Genomic DNA, 24,464 nt, shown 5'->3' on the forward strand with positions numbered 1-24,464 from the left:
CTCTGTTTCATTTAGGATGCTTTTGCTATACCTAATAGAAAATTTCTTCTGAGACCTTACATATAAATAAAGTCCTTATGGATTAAAGAACTAACATGAAAAATTGTGAAATAATTAGAAGAAAATTCACATACCCATGCACACACACATACTATTTGCATGGGTTTCATGCATTTCTGCATATCTTGTATCCACTTTTATTCTGGACAATCTTTACAGGAAGTTTGTACAGCAAACAGAGTTCCCTTGTGGCAGAAAGCAAGTAAATTTACTGTCCAGGATAATAAAGATAATATCTGCTTACAGGAGAAAGGTTAGGCAGATTTGCGTATAGCCCCCTTTAGAAGGTTGCCATTTCTTAAGCTCAGGGCTCATCAACTCAAACATAAGCCAACTATATGTATAACATATATGTGTAAGCATCACTCTGTAGGGCACGGGGGTGATAGGAATCTTTATGAACATGAAGCTCACACTCATACTGCCTATTGTGTGGCTAATAAATTCTTTTGTCACTGAACTGGGAGTCCCATCTCTTCTGCCAGCATCTATAAAACTGTGTCAGAATAACTTAGTTTGCAAGTAGTTCAAAATCTCAGATATTTCTTAGTTCCTGAATATATCTGTGTCTACTATTATATCATCTGTATCAATTACCTATCTATCTCTCTATCATCTATCTATCTAGAGATATATCTGAGCAATTTGCTTTGGCAATAGTAATAATTTTTCTAAGCACGATATACACATTTACACAATGATGAACAAAAGTCTAGGCAGGGAGGCGGGTATAACTCTCTCATGCCCCTTTTTATATATTCACATCTATGTTCTACTTAAATCTTTCAGTGATTCTTCAGCACCTTCATGATGAGGTTACCACTCTTTTGTTATCTAGGTGTGCATATGCCTCTGCCTGATCTTGCCATTTTTATACTTGGATGATCTCTTTTGCCACTGTTAACTTGTGGATCTCTCTGATGCTATTGATAAACAGTGGTGACTTCACTTTTTAGTCCACTGAGTGAAAGGTGGAGGTGTTTTAAGTCAAGCTGGCATCTCACTCTTGTAGGTGGATCTCTAAGTTTGCTATCATTTCTGTGGCTCATCTTTCTTTGCTCCTTTCCTTCAGACTGAATACATTGAACTGTATACAATATAGGTAATATAGACCTGCAACCGAAGGGCCACAAGCTCTCAGAATGTTAGTACGTGGGCTGAGGAACAATGAAAGATGGTATGGGCTTAACGTATTATGCAAATGAAAGTCTTTTCAAACTGAGTTTAATAAATACTCCTTCTACCATTTCTTCCCTTTTCAGCTATCCATTTAAATCCATCATGCTGAGGCACTTCCTCCCTTCCTGAAGGTACTTTCACCTCTCTCACAAGAGGAGGAGATTGCAACTTAAGTTTTGCACATTTGGGTGACACTTTAAGATTCAGCCAAATACTAATAGATCTTTCCTTTGATCAAGCCATAAAGGATTTAGAATGAGAAGTGGCATTAATTCCAATCTATCTGTTACTAGAGAGAGCTATGTTAGTCTTTATTGGCTTACCTATGATGTAAATAAACCACACCAAGGTGAAAGTTCATATAAAAAATTAAGTTAACAAAGATGTGCTTTTTCTTATTAGCCTGACTTTGATCTTGCTCATTGGGAATAGTAAATTTTACCACTGATATGACTATGAAAAGTTTTGCTTTTTCTTGACTCACTTGAGCCATGTTTGCATTATAAGAAAAACTACACTTACCGTAAGTAAATGGCACTCTCTATCTCTCTTTCTCCTATTGAAGTGTAATGGTGCCAATCCTGATTACAGTCTTTTATTATTATATACGAGGAAAATTCTATTTCATCCTGTTACACTTGAGTTTTCATTTAATCAGTTTACAGGTTGCCCTTTGCCAATTCTGTTAATTTAATTTCCTAACATTTTCATTTATGCGCTCTCAGTTCCAACTGTTTCAAACTCTTCAGGTTCCCTACTATGAGTTATTGATTTTTTTTTTCATTTTCATGAAGCTTCATTCAAGCAAAATCTTACATGAAACTCAAAAATACAGAATACATAAGAACACAGTTGCTTCGATGGAAGCAATTGAGTAGCCTCAGCGTTCCATCCAATTATCTTTTTCCAGCTCCAATCCACAGACTGCCATATTTCTCACAACTTCTGTCCACTGTCTCCCACTCCTTCATCTGGTCAATCCCTTCTCCTATATCAATTTTTAATTCTTGGAAGTCTTTTCTACCCTGCCATTATCTCTGAGATGTCACAGCAGTCAAATCTACCTCTATCATAGTACATCACATCTATCTGTTAGAGTGGGGTATCTCTCACTGACAAAGGGTCAGATACTGTTTGAAACCAAATATGACTCTTGCATTTTGTGTTCCTAATGCCAATAATAGTACCCAAGCCATGGTAGTTGTTCAATATAAGTGTTTTCTGAGTGAATGTATGGATAAATAAGAATTTCTGGCCAGGCGCAGTGGCTCATGCCTGTAATTTCAGCACTTTGGGAGGCCAAGGCGGATGGATCATGAGGTCAGGAGATCAAGACAATCCCGGCCGACATGGTGAAACCCCGTCTCTACTAAAAACACAAAAATTACCTGGGCATGGTGGCACGTGCCTGTAGTCCCAGCTGCTTGGGAGGCTGAGACAGAAGAATCACTTGAACCTGGGAGACGGAGGTTGCAGCGAGCTGAGCTTGCGCCACTGAACTCCAGCCTAGCGACAGAGCAAGATTATGTCTCAAAAAAAAAAAAAGAAAAAGAAAAAAAAGAAAAAATGAATTTCTACAGTGACATCTCTGCCTTAAAGCATTTGTTTTTTGTATGTTCATTTTACTCAACAAATATAACCAACTGTTAGTTCTCCATCATCAAGGAAAAAGAGGAATGAAATGCACAATATTAAAATACTTCAGTTTGGGATTAGGATTACTTCTATTTTTAATGGATACTATTTCCTTTGATTTTCTGGGCAGTCTCATGTTTTTCTCAAAATCATTGAGCACCACGATAAAGTTGACTTAGACAGAAATTGAACAGTGCCTAAGTTTGACTGTTTCTATTCCCTTTTAAAATGCTTCCCATGTACCACACAGCCCAGGAATGGGGATCATCATCTCTCAGGTGAATGCAAATTGACATCCTAAAATGAGGCACCACTGAGTGTTTTATATACCTTGCCACTTCCCTAGGAGAAGTAATTATTTGGTACAAATTACATTTTTACTTAGTAGCTTATCCTGTGGGAGTGTGTGTGTGCGTGCGCACACACATATACACGTTGGGGCCAAAAGAATCTTAAGTGTAGACTATTTACAGAGTAGCAGATACTCTCAATGAAGAAGGTAAATCAAAGCATATATATATATATATATATATATATATATATATGTATACACATACATACACACACATATGCTCACATATATGATATACATCATATATCCATATATATATAAATATATAAATAGTTTTTGTTAGGAGCCATATTATATAATCTGCTTTGGTGTGATAATCCCATAAGATGTGCTTAATTTAAAGTCCAATGCCCTATACCATGACATACAGAAAAAAGATTACTTTCTGCTCATCTCATTTCACATTTGCAACACACTAAATTATCAGTTTTTACAATGCAGCAGTGGTTTGGGCTTGCCATCCCTAACTATTACTAAAGGTGAATGACAACAGATATTTTGGGCATCCTGAGTAGCCTGAAGTCTTCCTCTTCTATCCACTTAAAATGACTTAAATCCTTGGCCTGTGTGCAATGTAAAACCAACACCCTCTTCCTTATTTCTGAGGGTTTTAAAGGAATTGATGTTGTCCAGATACCTCCCATTCTGCATTCCTTCTCCTCCTGATTTCTGATTTACTCACCTTCCTATCATTGCTCCTGGGATTGTTTGCCCTCCTCCAATTTCTTTAAGTGTTAACAACTTTTTTTTATGATCCTTCTTCAAAGAAATCAACTAAACATAACTATCATAATTAGCATTTTTAATGGAAAGATTCAGGATAATGGACAAGAATTACAACACAGTCAACAACTTCAACTTGAATATGTTAAATATCAGGTATTTCCTCATTTACCTACTTAGAGCGTTTTTCAACAGGTGCCTTTCTCCCAGTTGCCAAGATCTTCCTAACTTCTCTTAAGTTACATCTTCCAAACCCCAGATTCTTTAGTCTGCAGAGCAATATCACTCTCAACCTTTATGCTATACCAGGCCATGGAACTAACTTTGAGAAGCTAAAATATTCATTAACAACTTTCTTAAACAAAATTGTCATTTACCTCTGAAGCAGATGCTGCCTTTGCCTGGAAAGTGAAAACACATTTTATTTTTTAAAAATAACAACGATGGTATATAGATGCATGCGTATGTGTATATATGCTTTCTTTTATACCTAGAGGTGCTGCCCTTACTGTGAGAAATTGTTCATTCAGGTAGCTGTGTCTTTACCATTATGATAGCTTATATGGATGTACATCTAACTGTATTATATACACATGTATAACACATGTATATACAGTGTATGTTTTGATGTTTACCCACAATAAGAACACTTTCTTGCTGAATACAATTTTAAAAACTCAATTTGTCTCTGGAAATTTAGGGACCAAAAAAAACCTCCAAAAATCAGTACTTTTGTCTGAAAATTACCCAGGAATTAAAATATGTATTGTCAGGTTCATTTTGCCCTTCCTATGAAACAGCATTTTGTTACACAACTTCATTATTAAAACATTATTTTTTATGTGTCCAACAACTTATATCCTGACTTATCTTTTTTTTTTTTATGTATAGTAGGTCCAGAGCCCCTTACTCTATTTTCCACTGTAAAATCTTTGTTGATTCCATTTATTTCATATCATTATATATTTTGGAATTTGATCATATTTAAGCCAAAATTGGGGAAAATTTCAATGCATCTTTAACTTAAAAATATGGAATCTTAAAAATATTTAAATGAACTTTAATGTAACACTCCAGTTTATTATTTTCATAGTGTTTACAACATTTTCCTAAAGTAAAAGTGGATGACCATGATAGAATTCCTACTCACCTCCTGTTTTCTGGTTTAAATAACTATCAATTAAAATGTGACAGCTTTTTCTGTTATCATATTTATAGTCATATTGATGGAGATTCCTTTTATTTACAGAATTTTATTGATTTTGCAAGTTCCTAAAAGGTACTTGGAAGGAACAGTAATGGAATGGATGGATGCATTGCCTTGTAGATCAATCAAAGAGAATTTCACGGATTGTAAAGTGAGAACACATTTACTGAGGTCAGCATTTTTGTTCCTGCTGCTCTTTCTGGAACTGCAGCCAGCGACTTATTAGTACTGGTTGCATACTTTCTGGAATAGCAAGCGAATAAGAGCACAATACAGCAGAGTTTCTTGGCAGGGAGTTGCATTTTCTTAACTGCTTTAATTCTCATGATTGCATTAGGTGCAGTTCATCTCTGATGAAATGCTCTCAGCCAAGACTTAGGAATATATCAAATAGGAGCTGATGTTTCATTTCTTGGAGCAGGGCACTCAGTTGTAGATACAGGCATGGATGAACTCAAGTGCAGTTGCAGTAGAAATGAAAAAGCTAACAAATAGTTTGGGTAATATTATATTTTATTTTCTTCTATGTCATTTCATAAAAGATAATGCTGCAATCAGGTTGGTGTGTGAATGTGCGCATGAGTATGTGTAAAAGCCTATGAGTATGTTTGTGAATTTGTGTATATATGTATGTTTATACTCCAATAAAAACCGTGTCTATTTGAGTCATGAATAGACTTTACATAAGCACAGTTGAATCTCACGTTCAGCAGTGTAGGTAGAAATTTTTACATTGTCTGGAAATTGCAAGCGGAAGACTGTGATTTAGGGATGGGATATAAAGAGGTTCAGCAATGAAGGACTACGTAGAGAGAAGGGCCACTGGAGAACCCATTGGAGGTAAAATTGACCTCATGTTTTGAAAAAGTGATAAAAATAAGTGAACAAATGGCAACCATCAACAAAAATGACACAATTCCTTCCTTTGGAGTGTCATTAGGGAGTTATGTGTTATAAAATTCATTATTGAAATTCGAGGCATGAAAGCTCATGGCCCAAGTAAAGTGGGGGCAGAGACTGAGTTAATGGAAGGGCTATGTAACCATTAATGGCTCATCCCAAGCATAGCTGACCATGACCTCCTAGCTGACCACGACCTCCACTGTGTGCAGTGGAATCCTGGGAAATTTAAGAGCTACTCTCTGATATGCTGAGACTTTGCAGGCCCATTCAGAGAGCTAAATAAAACAACATGGTTGCAGGTAATGGCAACAAGCTAAATAGCTAAAATCACCCACGACATTTAGATGTGTATTCCAGGCTGTTAGTTTAATGTTTGCTGTATGTACTATGTAGTCTTTTCTGTTAATTATATTTCTTAACTAATTTTTAGAAAGAGTACTCTACTTGAAGTTCATAACTGATAGGGAGAAAGGTGGGAATGGGAATGGGAAACTGTACAAATATTTAATGACTCTAAATATTTGAGAGAACTGAGGAAATATCACATGGATTATGGTGCTAAAAAGGACTGTTATCTAACTGAGTTTTTGTCCTGATCCACTTCCTGTTCCTTATCTTATTGTACTATTCCATCTTCTGCCACTTAAATTCACAGAAACAAAATGCAAGTAAATGCATCTCTTTTTCTTGCCTTCCCAGACTGATTTAATAAAAATGGCTAGATTTCTAGGAAGAGAACATCTTTTTGGAGTCCACTCCCTGAGCTGCGAATAAATGGAAAGCTTACACAGGAATTGAAGAATTTGAAAACGTGGATAATTTGCTCCTTGACCTTTGGACAATTTACTTAACCTCTTTAAATGTCAACAGCTTTCTTACAAAATGGGAGGCAAACTTGATAATCCCTAAAATTTAAAAATGTATAACATTATACAGAGAGGACAGTGGTAAACTTAGGACTGCTGCCCTTTCTATATGATGTAATTTTATATAAGACAAACCTATAACAGGTCTAATGGACCACTGTTTACAGTTTGAGTCACCAGTGCCTTACCCATATTTCCTTTTAACTATATCTCATAAATTCATATGAAAAACCCTTATAGACCTATTCCACATAAGGGGAAGGAAAACTAGGAAGCATGAAAAATGAATATTAATTTAATTAAACTTTTCTATAATGGCTCACTGTCTGTTCCAGAATCTGAAAAGTCCCAGGTACCAGAAAGCTGGAAAAAAATAGAGCCAGAAAATGGGACTAAGAAGGACTCTGCTTTCATAGTAAAATACTCAACATCCTTGCTGTTTTTAATAATGTGGAAAGTTGATAATGGTGGTGGTATGGCTGGTGGGTTTGTGTGTACGTGCATGTGGTGTATATAATTATATACATATAATTACTTTTAGAGCTCTTGCATCTTGAAAAACACCCATCTGTTTGGTAACATTTTATGTTGTGGCACTTTCCTCACATTTGAAAATGCGAATTTTGATACAAAGACGTGTATTGTTTTTTTTTCCACACTAAGATTCAGAATGTTCTGGCACAGATATTTCTCATTCATGTTAGATATCTACATTCAGTATAACATTAGCTATTTAGATATCAATAAGTAGAATTCTTTTTATATGGGAGTTACTGGGTGAGTCCAACTTGAAGTTGAGGATATTTTAGACAAAGACAAAAGCATAATGTAGATAAATGCATCAAGCATAAAAAGGAAAAGATCAAAGTGAAGAAAAGAAAAGTAATGGAGATAAACCCAGAAAGGTGGACTTGGAGTAATCATGGGGACCCTTGAGCTTTATTTGGCAAGTAAAGGCTAAACTTACTGAAGGTTTATATGCAGGAAGTTTGCATGATCATTGCTGAGCTTTATAAATAATTTAGTAGAAGTATATAAAATTAAATAAAATATATAAATACTAACAATGGGGAGTAAAATTAGGAAGACCATTTTCATAACCTTCTCAAACATGTGAAAAAAGAAAAAATGTGCCACTCCACACACTGGAGTGAAATGAATGGAATGAACAGCAGTAGAGAAAAGACATTCTGAGTGTCCAAATCTTAGTGTCTGAGACATAGTATTATCATTAGAAATGGGCAACACAGAAGATGATTGGATTTGCTTAGGTTTTTAAAGGAGGATGATGAAATTTTGCTGGAAACTGAGAATTGGAGTTGACAGCATGCTATACACATGACACTTCCCTAGCGGCATTTGGAAATGCCTAGAGAAGTTAAAGCTTGAAATAGAGATTTGTGTGGTGGCTTCGCAGGTGTGGTGGCTGTAACCCTGGAGGAGATCCCCTTGAGAAAGAACAGGAAAAAAAAAAAAAAAAGAAAATGATAATGTGTTGTTGGGAGAAACTCCTACATTTGTAGATCAGCAGGAGAAATAAGCCAGAGAAGCAAACAAGCTGAAGGTAAGAATCAGGAAGCGTGTCAAGAAACTACATTGACTCTGACTAGGCAATGTGAAAGTTTTGATGGTAGTCGCCCAGGTATTATTGATTACTGTGAACTGACCGGTGCTTCACTTAAAACTTGAATTCCTGTCCAAATTTAAATGTTGAACAGATCATACAATGGAGACTGTTTAATGAGTGTTATAAGGAGGTGCCCCCAAAGAATTCGGAAATTACAGAAATATGTTTGCTTTTTGTCAATAAAACAAAACAAAAATCAAACCTATTGAAAATCGAGATCATATTCTTTGACCTAGCTAGAAAATTGTAATTAAAGGGGAAATGGATTGGTTTGTACAGAAAAGGTCCTTTTAGAGAAGCAAGCTTTGGAATTTTAGTTCCAGCATTGTCCCGGGAGAGAGATGCAACACTTGAGGGACTCAGCTCATTCATGAGAAAAATGTTCTCTTCTGTGGGCGGAAATACTTCTTTAGGCTTCATCAGAACAAAATAACCCCCATTTAAATCCTTGAGCTTTGCTTTAATTCTGTGCCATCGATCAACCTACTTATCCAATTATTGGCTATGAATATTAAAGAAAGCATGGGAATTAGAAGTGGTATTTTCTACAGTGTTAGTTTTCTACAATGTTGGTATTCTTAATTATACAACTATTTTATGAGAATTAGTTAGAGTCATTTTATCACCTATTTCTGGGTGCAGTGTTAAGTCCCAGTTTCTGGTTTCAAGTTGAAGAGAAGACTGCAGATTACGGTAGACCAGCTTGGGTCACGTTACCCTGAGAGACCACTTCAGATCCATTTCCACTGGACTTACCTTTCTTCTCAACTTTTTACCATTCATTTTCTATTCCAAGAATTTTCAAATCTGCAGTTCCCTGGTGATCAAATGGTCTTTTCTTACAAAACTTGTATTCAGATCTGCCAGGAGAACCATCAGGTGTTATACTGTTTTCTGACAAATATATGCAGACAATAGCTGGCTGCATGCCTAGATTAGTGTGTGGTAAACACAGTTGACTGATTGACTGGGATCTACTTTGCATTTGATGGTTGCAGAGTACTTAAGTGCTTTGTGTATTTCTATCTTTGGGTTGCTTAGAGATAGAAAGCCCTAAGGTTTTAGAATCCCAGGATAATTATATTTCAGAATGAGAAGACATAATGAGCTATAGTTTAGATTCCACTAAAACCAGAGTATTCAGTAATTTTTATAGACCAGTTAATTTACTCATCTTCCTTACTATATTTGTTTTCTCTTTCAGTGACTGGAACTATTGTTTTCCAGTAAATCCTAGAGGGAAACACTCTGTAAATGAATTGATAGTTACATAAATATAATATTTGTCAAGGCACGAAGTGCTAGGAGCATATTTTCCAGGTTAAGCACCATAAATTAATCCATACATACTGAGAAATTAAGAAGTAGGAACACTATAACCATGTATATACACATATTCTGCTTAAACATTTGTGTCGATTGATTTGACTTTTCTTTAAATCCAATATTTCTCCAATATCTATTTTTCTAACATCTTTAACACCATAAATAATAAAATGTTTCATGATTTTAATTATTATGACAAGTATGCTTTTTATACAGAGAGATTAATTTCCTTGTCTATTTCTGTCAATGGGTACCGTTGAAAATAAATTGTGTTTAAAAAGTTTTTGTATGATTATAGGCATGAATTCTGTGGCAAGATGGTCTGAATTTGAACCCTAGCTTCCTCAAATATTAACTGTGTTACTTTCGGCAATTTACTTAAACTCTATGAGTCTCACTTTTCTCATCTATAAGACGGGAGAGTAATAGCTCCTAGTCCCTAGTGTTGTTTTGTGAATGATTTAAAATATATAAATCACTTAGCATAGTGTCCAGAACATATTAATGCTAGGTGATAGTTGGCCATTATTATAACTCAATGTGCATTTATTTAGGTATTCAGATATCTTACAGAGATTTTTCAGAATAATAACATCCTAATTTATGAAAAATTACTTCCTGCTACTGAAAATTAATTAGGCTATCCTTTTATAAAATTATATATTCGACATTTATTCAATATAATTGAATATTTCTTTCCCCAACCTTCTACATTGGGGTACTATAATTTCATTAACTTTTCTAACAAAACCAAGTGATTATATTGAGACAGTAACATAACCAACATTTTCAGAACTTGCAACATTGGTCTAGTAATTTACAGCTACCCAGATTAATTTGAAAGCTATTTACATGTAATTAGTAGGATTTCTTGTATTCGGTCAATAATATTATCTTTGATTGGATAATAGTAACCAAGGCTTGATATACATGTTTATACATAAAGCTTATTTTACTTTAAATTTCTGGGGTCATTTATTGTAAAGGGAATCATATCAGTTATTTGATACCTGAGAGGATAATTCTTTATATTTGAAAATTATTATATTTTATTGTGGCACTTATAGAACATTTTTTCTGTTAGCCTCTTAGCCTAAAGCACTGAAATATTATGTAGAATATTGTGTTAGGGTACAACAATAAGGGAATTTGATTTTACAATTAGGAGAATTTGTACAGCTTGTTCCAATTATCACTCTTCATTTTATATATACAACTAACCTTAAGGCCTCATTTACATGAAAGTTGGTTCACTTTCAACCGGTGTGCATGTCACTTGTGATGATTTCTAGTCTACTTCATGCAAAGCAATTTCAGTAAGTGCTTACCTTGAAGTGATTTATGTTCACACAAAGACCACGGGGATCCCACTTACTGATTCCATCATACGACAAGCTCTCATAACTCTCTATTTCTCTAGAAATAATATTTTATATAATTGCATCAGGTTATATTGTTTAAAATGTTGAATCTGTTTCTTACCTCTTCCCTGGAGGTTATAAAAAAAATCACTTTTTTTCCTCCATTGTAAGAAGATTTTAAAATTTTTCTTTCTATGGTATCATTGAATTCAGGAGGGCGGGGCAAGTGAGTTTAGGAAGAAGTAAATACTGATAAATTCTATAAGGTAAACATGAAAAGCCTTAAAGAAAGCAGGTTATATTCAGAATCACATTAACAAAGTAAAGGTTCAAAACAGTATTATTTTTATATAAGAATTACAACTTTGATGCTTTGAAAATAAATTATTTGTATGTCAATTATACATGACTAATTTCAATTTTAAGTTGTTATTCTTTGTAGTAACAAATCTAGAATATTAATCTTTACCTTGTTAAAAGCCTGCTTTTATTTACTACAAATACATTGTGTAGTAAACAAGATGTTCAAGTCAGTAAAGCAGAACACTTCAACATCTCTGCTCATTAGAAAGTGGCATTTGGGCCGGGCGCGGTGGCTCAGGCCTGTAATCCCAGCACTTTGGGAGGCCGAGACTGGCGGATCATGAGGTCAGGAGATCGAGACCATCCTGGCTAACAAGGTGAAACCCCCGTCTCTACTAAAAATACAAAAAATTAGCCGGGCGCGGTGGCGGGCGCCTGTAGTCCCAGCTACTCGGGAGGCTGAGGCAGGAGAATGGCGTGAACCCGGGAGGCGGAGCTGGCAGTGAGCCAAGATCGCGCCACTGCACTCCAGCCTAGGGGACGAGTGAGACTACCTTTCAAAAAAAAAAAAAAAAAAAAAAGCGGCATTCAATATGATATTGAATTCATCTTTAACCTATATGTGAAAAGATGACCTGATAGGCATTAAAAAGTTGTTTTTTCTGAATGCTTGCTTATATAGCATAGAATGGAGGGTGGGCTGTTAAAATGAGGCAATAACCTGTTTCATTCGGGGTCAATGTGTTCAAGAAAGAAAGCTTGATATCCTGTCAAGTGTTTATGAAATATATTACTGTGTTTCTAAGACTTCATAAAGAATCTCAGAAGCTTCCAGTTTGAAGCCTGAGAATATGGCTTGAGTTTGTTTAAGGGACAAAGAAACCAGATTATGGTTATTTTTCCTTTCACTTTGTGATGATTTCACTGATGACTGGGAAAGATTCAGATCTTTTACATAGATGCATGTATATACTCACACATGTGGAACAACTTTCTCATGCCTGTAGCTCAATACGGAGTTAAATTGTGCACATCAAGAAAGAATCCTCTGCACATCAGGAAAAGTTTATTTTTTGGTTTTGTTTTTTGTTGTTGTTGTTGTTGTTTTTTGAGACGGAGTCTCACTCTGTCACCCAGGCTGGAGTGCAGTGGAGCAATCTCGGATCATTGCAACCTCTGCCTCCCAGGTTCAAGCAATTCTCCTGCCCCAGCCTCCCGAGTAGCTGAGACTACATTGCCCGCCACCACGCCCGGTTAATTTTTTTTTTTTTTTTGTATTTTTAGTAGAGACGGGCTTTCACCGTGTTAGCCAGGATGGTCTCAATCTCCTGACATCGTTATCCGCCCACCTCGGCCTCCCAAAGTGCTGGGATTACAGGCGTGAGCCACACCTTGGCCTGGAAAAGTTTTAAAAATGAGTCTGAAATTTCATTACTGCACCGTACCTGATATGGTTTAGCTTGTGTTTCCACCCAAATCTCATCTTGAATTGTAATCTGAATTGTAATACCCACATAGTGGGGGCGGGACATTTTGGGAGGTGATTGGGTCATGGAGGTGGTTCCCCCATGCTGTTCTCATGAGAATGAGTGAGTTCTCATGAGACCTGATGGCTTCATAATGGCCTCTGACCCCTTTGCTCAGCACTTCTCTCTCCTGCTGCCTTGTGAAGAGGGACGTTGTTTGCTTCCCCTTCCATCATAATTGTAAGTTTCCTGAGGCCTCCCCAGCCATGTGGAACTGTGGGTCAATTAAACTTCTTCCCTTTATAAATTACCCAGTCTCAGCTATTTCTTTATAGCAGTGTGAAAACAAACTAATACAGTACTTACACATTTTTTACCGATATCTCTCATCTCTTTTATTTCAAGAGAAGTGGCTAATCTGAGCTCTTAGTATCCCCTTGTAACCAGTATTGTAAAGAAGAATATTTTGGCATCCACTCTTTTTTATTTAGCCCCATAAAAACTATTTCCAGCTTATTGGCTTTTCTAGTGTTTCTGACTAATGTTATTTTGATCAAACCTGAAATGTCTACCTTCTTCTCTCATTGCTACTGTGTTGAGATCTTGGAAGAGGGTGAAAAGTGACTCATTACTTTTTCCAATTCTCTTTTAATCCTTTTAGCTTTACCTTCTTGGCCTTATGTACTCTGCTTGGCAAAGAGAAAGGAGCTTCATGTTCTGACCATTGGAAAAGAGTCTTAATATTTTTTAAATGTGCTACTATTCTCTAGGGCTATTTTGCTAGAAAGGTTTTGACAGTTGTTTGAGTTGCTCCTCTTCCTCCTGTGTTTGGGCTTAAAAATCACATGGAAGAGTACACTTGGTTAGTAATGTTCTGGTTTGGTTATGTGTGTACAGAGAAGAGGAATGGCCTGCTCCGCAGACTCAGCAAACTATTCTCTGGAAGATTCCTGGTCATTGTGGAAGTAGCTAGAATCTACCACATTCGAAGTAGCACCCTTCCCCTCTCCAAGCGCTGGTGGTCCCCCTGCTGCTTCCTGTTCTTTGGTTCTTCCCTATTCTAGTTGTGTTCCCAAGCCTTGTCTCTGTCAAACAGCTGCCTAAAATGTGGCTAAATCTGCTAAATAAAAAGACAAGATCTTAGAGAAAGCAATTCTTTTCATGTGTGGCTTATAGACATAATTTCTATTATTTTCTTATAATCACAGGGAGTTCTCAACTTTGTCATATAAATTGTGGAAGATAATGTTGATTGTTTTATTTCAGGGATTGGCAGTCTTTTTCTGCAAAGGGCCAGGTAGCAAATATTTTAGGCTTTGTAGGCATCTGGTCTCTGTCACTTCTACTCAACTCTGCTGTTACAGTGTGGAAGGAGCCATAGACAGTATGTAAACAAATTAACAAGTGTGGCTGGAGTGTGTGCTAACACAGAACTTATCTAATAGTTTCTCCCTTCATTGTTTTGAAATCCAGTTTTGCTCAGCTAGTAAGTTGATGAACACATCGTCAGGGAAGTAGGTTCCTCCCTAAGCTCAAGGTGATGAATCATGACTGATTTAAACCAGTCACGCCAAGGGTCACCAGTTGCCAGTGATTGGTTTAGGGGTAATTGTACATCTTATTTCAGGCTGTTAAAACATAAAAGGAAATCCGATGGGTCCTTCTGGTTTATGTTATGTGGGAGAAGTCCACATAAGGAAAGCAGGTCTTTAGGCAGCTACATCAAGAGGATGTGACTATATCACATCTATTATCACAGGATGATAATAGCAATGATTTGTGTGAACTTCAAGTAACTCGTCATGACATCTCCCAAACTGCAGCACACATTAGTACCACCTTTATTTTTGGTAGAGATTTTTATATTGAAGAATGAATATTTTTTATTTTTTAAGCAATCACAACTCACAGCAAAGATAAACCTTATGTCTTTGGAAACTTAATTAAAAATGCCATAAAACCATAAATATTTTAAAATGCTATCTTTTGAAAAGATATCATTGCAAAATAACTAAACACTTCTTTCAAAATCTCTTGGGAGTACAGCACTTCCATTTAATGTAGTTTATATGTATGATTTTTTTAAGATTGAAGAGAAATGATAGAATACAATTTAATTAAAAAGTTGGGGACTTGGGGGAGAATTTGTAGGTTTTATAGAAGTTTAATGTACTTATGCACACACACACAATATTCTTTTTTTAGAAATGGATACAGTACAACCCATATTGAGTCATTTATGAGGTGTGAGGTCACATAAGCCAGCCTTCAAATATTCATATTTATGAAAATTATTTCCTTCTCCATGATTCCTTCCTTATATGAAAAGTGTTACTATACATTTTACACTGTATACATTTACACTGTACACATTTCATTGTGTCTTGAAACTCCATACAAGTAGGCAGTTTAGTTGCTGATATAAGAAATCTTTCTATTAACCCAGAAGTATATTTGTCTTTCCACTTATTATCAACATTCAAATGGAAATTTATTTCAAATATACCCCACATTTGAATCTTAATTCAAAATATTGGCTGTCAAAAAAAAAAAAAAAGGTCTGATGGAGCCCTTTTTTTAAACTTGTTTGCTAACCATGGGATAAAGATACCAGTTTGGCTGTTTTGCCTGGAGTAGCTTTGCCCTTAAGAACTGGCCTTCCTGCTTTCTAATTAGAGAACTTATTTTTTCCCTTGCTGAACATTCTGTTTGAATTTGTTTTCCTGTCCTGTTTAAATTCTTTCTGATTTGTAAAAGTAAAACATAACCATCAGAGGTAGGTTTTGGATTAGGCTTTAATGACATTTGAAGGGAAAAACAAAAGGAAAACTGTGCTTTTCAGATGAATCACTCTCTTGCCTTCTTTTAATACTATTCCATCTGACAATAATTGGCAGGCGTGAGCAGTCTCAGGAAAAGGGGGCTCACACTGAATGGACCATCCTCACACACACACTCCTGATGCCTAATCGCTGTTTCTCCATGAGATGAAAGCGACTGACTGTCCTTGAGAAATACACACAATTGCTCTTGTAGCACTGGTAGTCAGGGCAATGGATGTCATAGAGTCCTCATAACCGTATCTATCAAATATTTACAAGAAATTTGGGGGGGTTCTTTTTTAAAGGAAGGAACCTCATGGGTCTGTCTATGTGAACATCCTTCTTTTGCATGTAGAGAACACCCAAGGCATAGTCTTTCAACTTTCCAGAGCTGTTTTAACTCTCTGCAGTCTAAATAGGCAAGAGGAGTCTCAAACTTCTATATGTCAAGCTACATCTCAATGATAATATCAAATTAATTTCACATATCAAAACATTTAAAGTTCCTTGAGGAGAATTGCACCTGTCTTGTAAAAGTTAATTTGACTAAGTGGCCTATGTGGCTGTCCAATAAGTTAAGTTGTCCTTTGATAGGACACTGGCTAACTGGGATGAGTCAATGCCTTAGTCAGTTCAGGCTACTATAGCAAACTACCGTAGACTGGACGGCGCATAAACAATAGAAAGGTATTTTGTACTGTCAACAAAAAGAGTCAAACTCTGTAAAATATTTGAAGAGATTTATTCTGAGCCAAATATGAGTGACCATGGCCCATGACACAACCCTCAGGAGGTCGTGAGAACATGTGCCCAAGGTGGTTGAGATGCAGCTTGATTTTATACATTTTAGGGAGATATGAGATTTCAATCAAATACATTAAAGAAATATATTGGTTTGGTCCAGAAAGGTGGGACAACTTGAAGCAGGGGCTTCCAGGTTATAGGTAGATTTAAAAATTTTCTGGCTGACAATTGGTTGAGTTTATCTAATGACCTGGGATCAATAGAAAGGAAACGTCTGGGTTAAGATAAAAGATTGTGGAGACCAAAGTTCTTATTGTACATAGGAAGCCTTCAGGTAGCAGGCCTCAGAGAGGATGGATTGTAAATGCTTCTTAACAGGCTAAGGTCTGTGTTGCTGTTAATGCTGGAGAGGTATAGTGAGGCATGTCTGACCCCACTCCCCACTATGGCCTGAACCAGTCTCTCAGGTTAAATTGTAAGAGTGCCCTGGCCAAGGAGAAAGTCCATTCAGATAGTTGGGAAGCCTTAGAATTTCATTTTTGGTTTGCAGTACAGTTCCGGAGGCCGGTATCCCAAGATCACAATGCCATCACGATTGGGTTCTGCTGATGGGCCTTTTCCGGGTTGCAGATTGATGACAACTCATTGCACTTTCATGCGGGAAAAAGGGGGCCAGGGAGCTCTCTGATGTCCCTTGTATAAGGGCACTGCTCCCATTCAGGGGAACTCCACCTGCGTGACCTAATTACCTCCTATGATACGCATACACTGTTCCTGGCTCATAACTGCCACACCCTTATTATTTCTCCCCAAGACAGGCCATAGAAACTAAAAATGTATTCTAATCATTTTCACCTTTCTGTCTTGGGACTGGCCATAAAGAAATTCTCTGACCTGGCCGGCATGGTGGCTCACTTCTGTAATCCCAGCACTTTGGGAGGCCGAGGCGGGTGGATCATGAGGTCAGGAGTTCAAGACCAGCCTGGCCAAGATGGTGAAACCCCGTCTCTACCAAAAATTCAAAAATTAGCTGGGCATGATGGCAGGCACCTGTAATCCTAGCTACTCAGGAGGCTGAGGCAGCAAATTGCTTGAACCTGGGAGATGGAGCTTGCAGTGAGCCGAGATCGCACCACTGCACTCCAGACTGGGCGACAGAGCGAGACTCTGTGTCAAAAAAAAAAAAAAAAAAAAAAAGAAAGAAATTCTCTGACCTACCTTGTCTTATGGTAGGTCATAAGATTCCCCATTTCAGAAATTCTTCCTCATATCCAGGAGGAAGACATGCTGCACAGAGAGGCCAAGAAGAATCTGAACAGACAGGCCTTGCCGGGTTTCCCGCTTAGCCTAGTATTAGATCATACTCTTTTTATCCAGTCACGTTTGTACACAGTTGTCCATGCTGCAGTCATGCCTATCCAGCAAAGTTTCCCTAAAAGGCCCAAAAGATAGTGTTCAGAGGGCTTCTATATAGCTGGACACACAGAGGTTCCTAGAGCATGTCATGCCCAGGGAAGGCATGAAAGCTCTCCACCCCTTCCTCCATAACTCACCCTTACATCTCCTCATCTGTATCCTTTGTAATATTCTTTACAGTAAACTGGTAAATGTGTTTCCCTGAGTTATGTGAGACACTTTAGCAATTTAATCAAATCCAAAAAACGGGTCATGAGAACTCCAGTTTTAAAATGGTCGATCAGAAGTTCTGGAGGTCCCGAATTACAACTGATATCGGCAGACGGGGAATAGTCATGTGGGACTGAGCCCTCAGTCTGTGGGATTTGATGCTATTTCTAGGTAGATAGTATCAAAACTGAATTGGAGGACACCCAGCTGGGGTCCACTACAGAAGTGATTGCTTGCTTGGTATGTGGAGAAAATGCTCCATACATTTGGTCACTGAAGTCTTCTGTGTTGACTGTTGTGGTTGAGAGCAGAGGAAAAACAGTTTGAGGTTTTTTCTTCAGCTCACACCTCCAAATGCCTTACCTTCTAATACCATCACATTGAGGGTTAGGATTTTAACATGTGGTTTTGAGGGGATACATTCAGTCCATGTTAGGCAATATGTATATAACTCTGTGTGTGTGTGTGTGTGTGTGTGTGTGTGTGTGTGTTTGTGTGTGTGTGAATTTGTGTATAACCTATCAGTATTAGAGTATAGGAATTATTTCAGTCGAGTTTAGTAAAAGAGGTTGTGGAATAGTTTGGGAAATGTTAACAATTCATTGAACAGAGAAATGTTATATAATATGCAGAAGCACAAAGCCAAACCAGGGTTTTAGTCTGAACACCACAATTCACTGGTGGTTATGCATCTGAAGGGTGACTACTTTCTATAGTGTCATCTACAAAATAATAGACTTGGAAGAATTGAATAAATCGATATTTGTTTTATATTGTTGCATATCAAATTAACTATCACAAACTTCATGGTTTAAAACACATCTATTCATTTCCACATGGTTCTGAGGTAAGAAATCTGAGTACTGCTTAGCTGGGTCCTCAGGACCTCACGAGGCTCAACTCAAGGAGTTAGCCAGGGCTGGGTTCTCATCTGAAGCTCAGGGTCCTCTTTCAAGCTCATTGAAGTTGTTGGAATAATTTTTTCTTTGCATTTGTAAAACAGAAGTCTTTAGTCTTCCTGGCTACAGGCCAGGAGTTGTTCTCAGCTCTTAGAGGCCTTTTTCAGATCCTGGCCACATGGCTCTCTCAAAACATGGCAGTTACTTCTTCAAAGCCAACAGGAAAATCCAACTCCAGTTTGCTAAGATGAATCTTACATGATATAACATAACCAAGAGAGCAGCTATCCCACCATGTTCAGATCCCTCAAGAAGAAGGATCGTTCATGGTATATGCACCAGGGAGTGGGGATCTTCTGGACCATCTTAGAATTCTGCCCACTATATGAACATAGCTAGATTTGTGTTGCCAGCCTGTAACTATTAGACTCCAAATAAATCTTCTGACAGAAGTTAAGAGAAGGAATAGCCACCATCATCAGCAAAGATGTAAAGCCTTGATTTGGGACTATCTCATGGTCTTGACATGTCTTAGAGATTTCTATTATTTGTCTTGTTAAGTGTCCTCTTGAATGCAGCAGCCTAGACATAACTGGTTAATTATCATTATGATCAATACACTCTATATTAGTTTCTATCGCTGCCATAATAAATTATAACAAACTCCAACAGCTTGAAAAACCCCACCTGTTTATTGTCTAAGAGTTTAGTAGGCCAGAAATCCAGGCACAGCTTAGCTCAGCTGATTTTCTGCTCTGAGTTTCATGCAGCCAAAATCAAGGTGTCAGCAGAGCTGATTTCCTGTCTGGAGGCTCTGGGGATAAGTCCACCTCAGAGCTCATTCAGAATGTTGGCAGGATTCCGTTCCATGTGACTGTAGGACTGAGGGCCCCTTCTCCTTGTTGGCTATAGGCTGAGGGTTTATTTTTAGATCCCAGAAGCTGTCAAATTTCCTGGCTCATGGTCACTTTTCTCCATCTTCAAAACCTGAAATGACAGGATGAGTCATTCTTATGCTTCAAATATCTTTGACCTCCCTTTTTGCCTCGTAACTTCTCTGTCTCCCTCTCCTGCTGTATCTCTTTTAATGGCTCTTCTGCCTTTTTCCCTGCTTTTAAGGACTTACATGATTATATCGAGTTCATCTGGGTAAATCTATAATAATTTCTCTATTTTAAGGGCATCAAACTAAGCCACCCCCAAAATATGCCACTTTGGCATAAGGATTATTTTGAGCTGAAAGCAGTTGAAAATCAACTGATAGAGAAAGAGTTCTTTCTCACCCTCTTATCTGCCTAAAAGCAGGACTATGTTTTATATATATATACATATATATTTACCCTTTTCTATGAATAATATTAAGATACCATAACTACTAAAACAGATTTCCTCTAAAATATCAGTGGCTTAACATGATAGAATCTTATTTCTCTCTCAGGAGGGGATTGCCAGTGGTGGGATGGGGTTCAGGTGGGGCAGTGCAGTGACATTCTGCTTCACGTAGTCATTCAGTGCAGTGCCACTAACACCTCTTACTGGAGTTTCTTGGCCATCGACCTCCAGCCAGAAGGAAGAGAGAGAGGGATGGCAAGTGAGATGTTTATGTGTCTCAGACCACAAGATAGTGAATATAATTTCCCTTTATACTAGAAAATGTAATTTAGCTATGTGCCCAGCCTGGAGAGGAAACAGGTTTAATTGCACATAATTTTATTCGGTATAGGAAATATGTATGTAAAAAGGCTTATGTATTATACATATTTTGTAATATTGTTTATTTACTCAGCAATATATCTCAAAGTTTTACTTCTTATTTATATCGTTGTTATTTGACTACATCTTTTTTTTAGGAAGATGTCCCCACTCCTCACACCTGTAACAGGGACACAAGAACTCTTATCATCAAAGATGGGAGCTGACACCAGGATTAGTTTGCATGAACAGATCTTATCTTCCTCTAGTTCAAATTTAGTCCTTAGCTTTCATTAGTTTCCCCGTATGTTTCCTAGTTGCTTCTCCGCAATTTATCATTCATGTAAATATTAATAAAATGGTGTGCCTTTTCTTCTGTTAATCCATCTAATTTTAGTTTAATTCAAAAGCCCCCAGATACAGAATTCAGAGGATAGAGGAAAAATTTTTCTGTCTCAAAAAAAGGTTACCTGTTTAATTATCATAATTCCATCTGCCGTCCTAAATTCTAGAACTTCCCTTCATAGAAATACTCAGATTAACATTTGATTGAATAACTAAAGGAAGGAAATCTTGGGGAAGCAGCATCTTTAGAATTCTTCCTACCACAGCTTCCTAAAATTAATGAACAAATGTTTATGGTGTGTTCTGTAAGTGTATTTAATGTTATGCATTAAATATGGGTGACAACAAAATGAGAATGATGGGTTCACTGCTCTCTAACAGCTTAAAGTTGGTAGGAGAAAATTTCAAGTCTGTATAAGATGATGGAGATATGTAGAGATCGTATCTGGGAAGGCTGAGAGAAGCAGATGGAATAATAATAGTGGACAGGCACAAGGTCATCACCATGTAGGGCATAGCTTGGTTGTGACCTGAAAGACAAACTTGAATTAATGCCACAGGGAATTAGGGAATTGAGCGGGGCTTCTAGCAAATCTGTACTGTAAATTAGCTTATAATATAGGGTTAGACAGACATATTTATTCATCCTGTTAGTACTAGAGGTGACTATTTTTTCATATCTTTGTTTCCCATCATAATTGGGAAACAAATGAGAGATGTGTAAAAGTCAGGTTGAAGAAAGCAAAGTGTCACTGATATTCCTGATAAATCTGATATAAGAAAACAGGCTAACAGGTCAGCCTTACCCAATCCCAGTCCCCAACGTTGCCAAGCCCTCAGTTCTCCCTTGAAAGAACCTGTCCTTGCAAACTCAATGGCATGGAGGAACCCAGAATTCATGTGCCTTGTGGATTCATTGTTTCCCTCCAAAGTTTCTTACAAATTACCCTCTGGAGAGAAGGAAATGAATAGATGGTGCAACAGGCCTACAGTGAAATATGAGCTAGGAAAGAAGAGGTTCTTCCCTCTAATTCTGCAAACTTGTGGCTTCAAGTAGAGAGAACAGTATTCACTCTCAACACATCTTCCAAGAAGAATGTGAATTCAAATATGACAAAACAGAGGGCAGAATTTCGAGGTTGTTAGAGAAACCTTGTGGTAGAAATACAAGGCCATTGAGTTTAGCTAAATCATGTTATTTATATAACACTTTAGTCAGGAAGTGGTTTCTCTCACTGAGGTTATCAGCATTAGAAAGGCAGTCACGGAAACAATAACCCTGAATGGAATGTTGTTTTGAAAGGGAGGCTTTAGACAGCAGGTCCTTCAGTCTAGTGAGGAGGCTACTGATTTAATTCTAGTCTTTTGCAGTCTAGCATAAATTGCTAAGCAATGCTAGATAAAGGCCACTTACAGTAAATAGCTTTAAAGTCTCAGGGTCATCATTTTGCTAAAAGGAAATCCTGGAACCAAGCAATTTAAAGGCCCTGTGGACATGGAATACTTATACTCAAGTCAGAAGCCAAGTGCTACTGCTGTTTAACTGTCTGTAGTGTGAGATACTCAACAGCAATGGGAAATTCTCTGCTGAAGTATGACCTGACGTATTTCTTTTGACCTTGGACGTGGGTAGAAAGGAAAATCAAAGTGACTTGCCCTACCTGGGATAATTTTTTGATGAAAATTTTTCTGAAGAAATTTTGCACGGGTAAAAAGATACTCTTAAAGGCAACTTACGTTCAATCAATTGATCTTGGAAAGAAGAAAAGTAGCTACAGTTGAAAATTAGCATTGGCCTACAGATTCAGGATTTAAAAGTTTTATTTTATTTTTTCAGTGTGATTCAATCTCACTTGTTCATTTTCGTTTTTGTTGGCTGTTGACTTTTGGAGTCACATTCAAGGAATCTTTGCCCAGCCCAATGTCGTGAAGTATACATGAATACAAACATATATACACACATATATAGTTATCATTTGTCAATTAAAAATAAAATTTAAAAATTAACGTTTTAAAAAATAATTTTAAAAAATAAAAATGATCGTTCATATAACTGTCAATGCAAAATTTGGAGGAACCTGATTTTAAAGTCTACTTTCTGGGTCAATACGGTATCAATGAAGCTCAATATTGCTTATGGGTTTGTTGCTGTTATTCCTGTTAAATTTAATATGAACATCAAATTAAAATATGTTTGCTTATGGTGAGCCTGTTTCTTCCACGACGATTGCCATGAAACAAACCAACCCAAACTTGGGGGCATAAAAAGAGCTTTAATTGTGCTCATTGCTTCTGTGGGTCAGGAGTTTCTGAAACGGACAGTGGGCATGGCTCTTCTCTGCTCTACATGTCTGGGCCTTCAGTTAGAAGATTCGATAGCTAGGAGGGAAGTCTGGGTCCTAGTGTCAGCTGATACTTGTTCACTCTCATGTTGATCCTTGGCTGGCAAGACCCAGAGTCTAGGAGTGACAGCAAGTATGCCTATCCTTGCCCTCTCTGAGTGGCTTAAGTTCCTCACAACATGGCAGCTTACATGCAAGTTCAAAGTTCCAAGTTTAAGTGTTGCGGCGAAGAAGGCAGAAGTTACCTTAGAAGCTATGTGGTACCACTCCCTTCATTGTCACCCCTTCTGTTGATTACAGGCGAGTCACACACCTGCTTACATGCACAGGGACTGTGTTCATATACACCTCTCAGTTGGAGGAGTGCCAAGTTTAGCTTGCAGAAGCAAGGATCTGTGAGATGGAAGATACGTTGTGGGTATCTCTGGAAACACAATCTGTCATGATGTTTATGGTGTATTTATTTATTATCCAATTGAGAGTATCTTCCTAACTACCATCAATATTGCCATTATTACCGTTATGCACTTGGTAACTATACAGAAAAACATTTTTATTTGTGGTCAAAAAAGAAATGAGATTACATATTCTGATAACAGTGATGAGAAGAACAAATGTTAAATTGAAAAGTGCAATGACACTGTTGTTATTTAGTTCACTCGTAACATTATAGATATATTCCATTTGTACATATTCTCCATGAAGGCTTTATTTCTCTTCATTAAGGCAGGTTGTGTCAGCCAAACAGCAGATGGCCTAACCATAATGCCTTTAGGCAGATGTTCTCATTTGGGTCATAACATGTGAGCAAAAAATGCCATATTCCAAACTGTCTCATCATCTCTAGTAATTACTGGATAACATCCAATGTTTACACAAGTCTTTTATAGCTGTGTATTATATTGGCTAGACCTAAGTACTGAAGGCTTGGTTTATAGTAACACTATTTTGCTAAATTTTGGGATAGATTATACAACTCTATTCAA

General features: G+C 37.2%; 1 protein-coding gene across 4 annotated transcripts in view, besides 1 other annotated feature; it reads left to right on the plus strand.

Annotated features, from left to right (window-relative positions):
• The window catches only part of CHODL (chondrolectin), a 350,031-nt gene that overhangs the window by 215,995 nt on the left and 109,572 nt on the right, over nucleotides 1-24,464 (plus strand). The window lies entirely within an intron of this gene.
• Nucleotides 22,158-22,690: an enhancer, noted in NCBI's record as "OCT4-NANOG hESC enhancer chr21:19527809-19528341 (GRCh37/hg19 assembly coordinates)". NCBI's record gives its function as "activates a minimal SCP1, AML or CMV promoter by ChIP-STARR-seq in primed H9 embryonic stem cells {active_cell/tissue: H9 hESC(primed)}" and the evidence as "EXISTENCE:reporter gene assay evidence [ECO:0000049][PMID:30033119]".

Source organism: Homo sapiens, chromosome 21 (genome assembly GCF_000001405.40).
Source record: "Homo sapiens chromosome 21, GRCh38.p14 Primary Assembly".
Taxonomy (NCBI): Eukaryota; Metazoa; Chordata; class Mammalia; order Primates; family Hominidae; genus Homo; species Homo sapiens.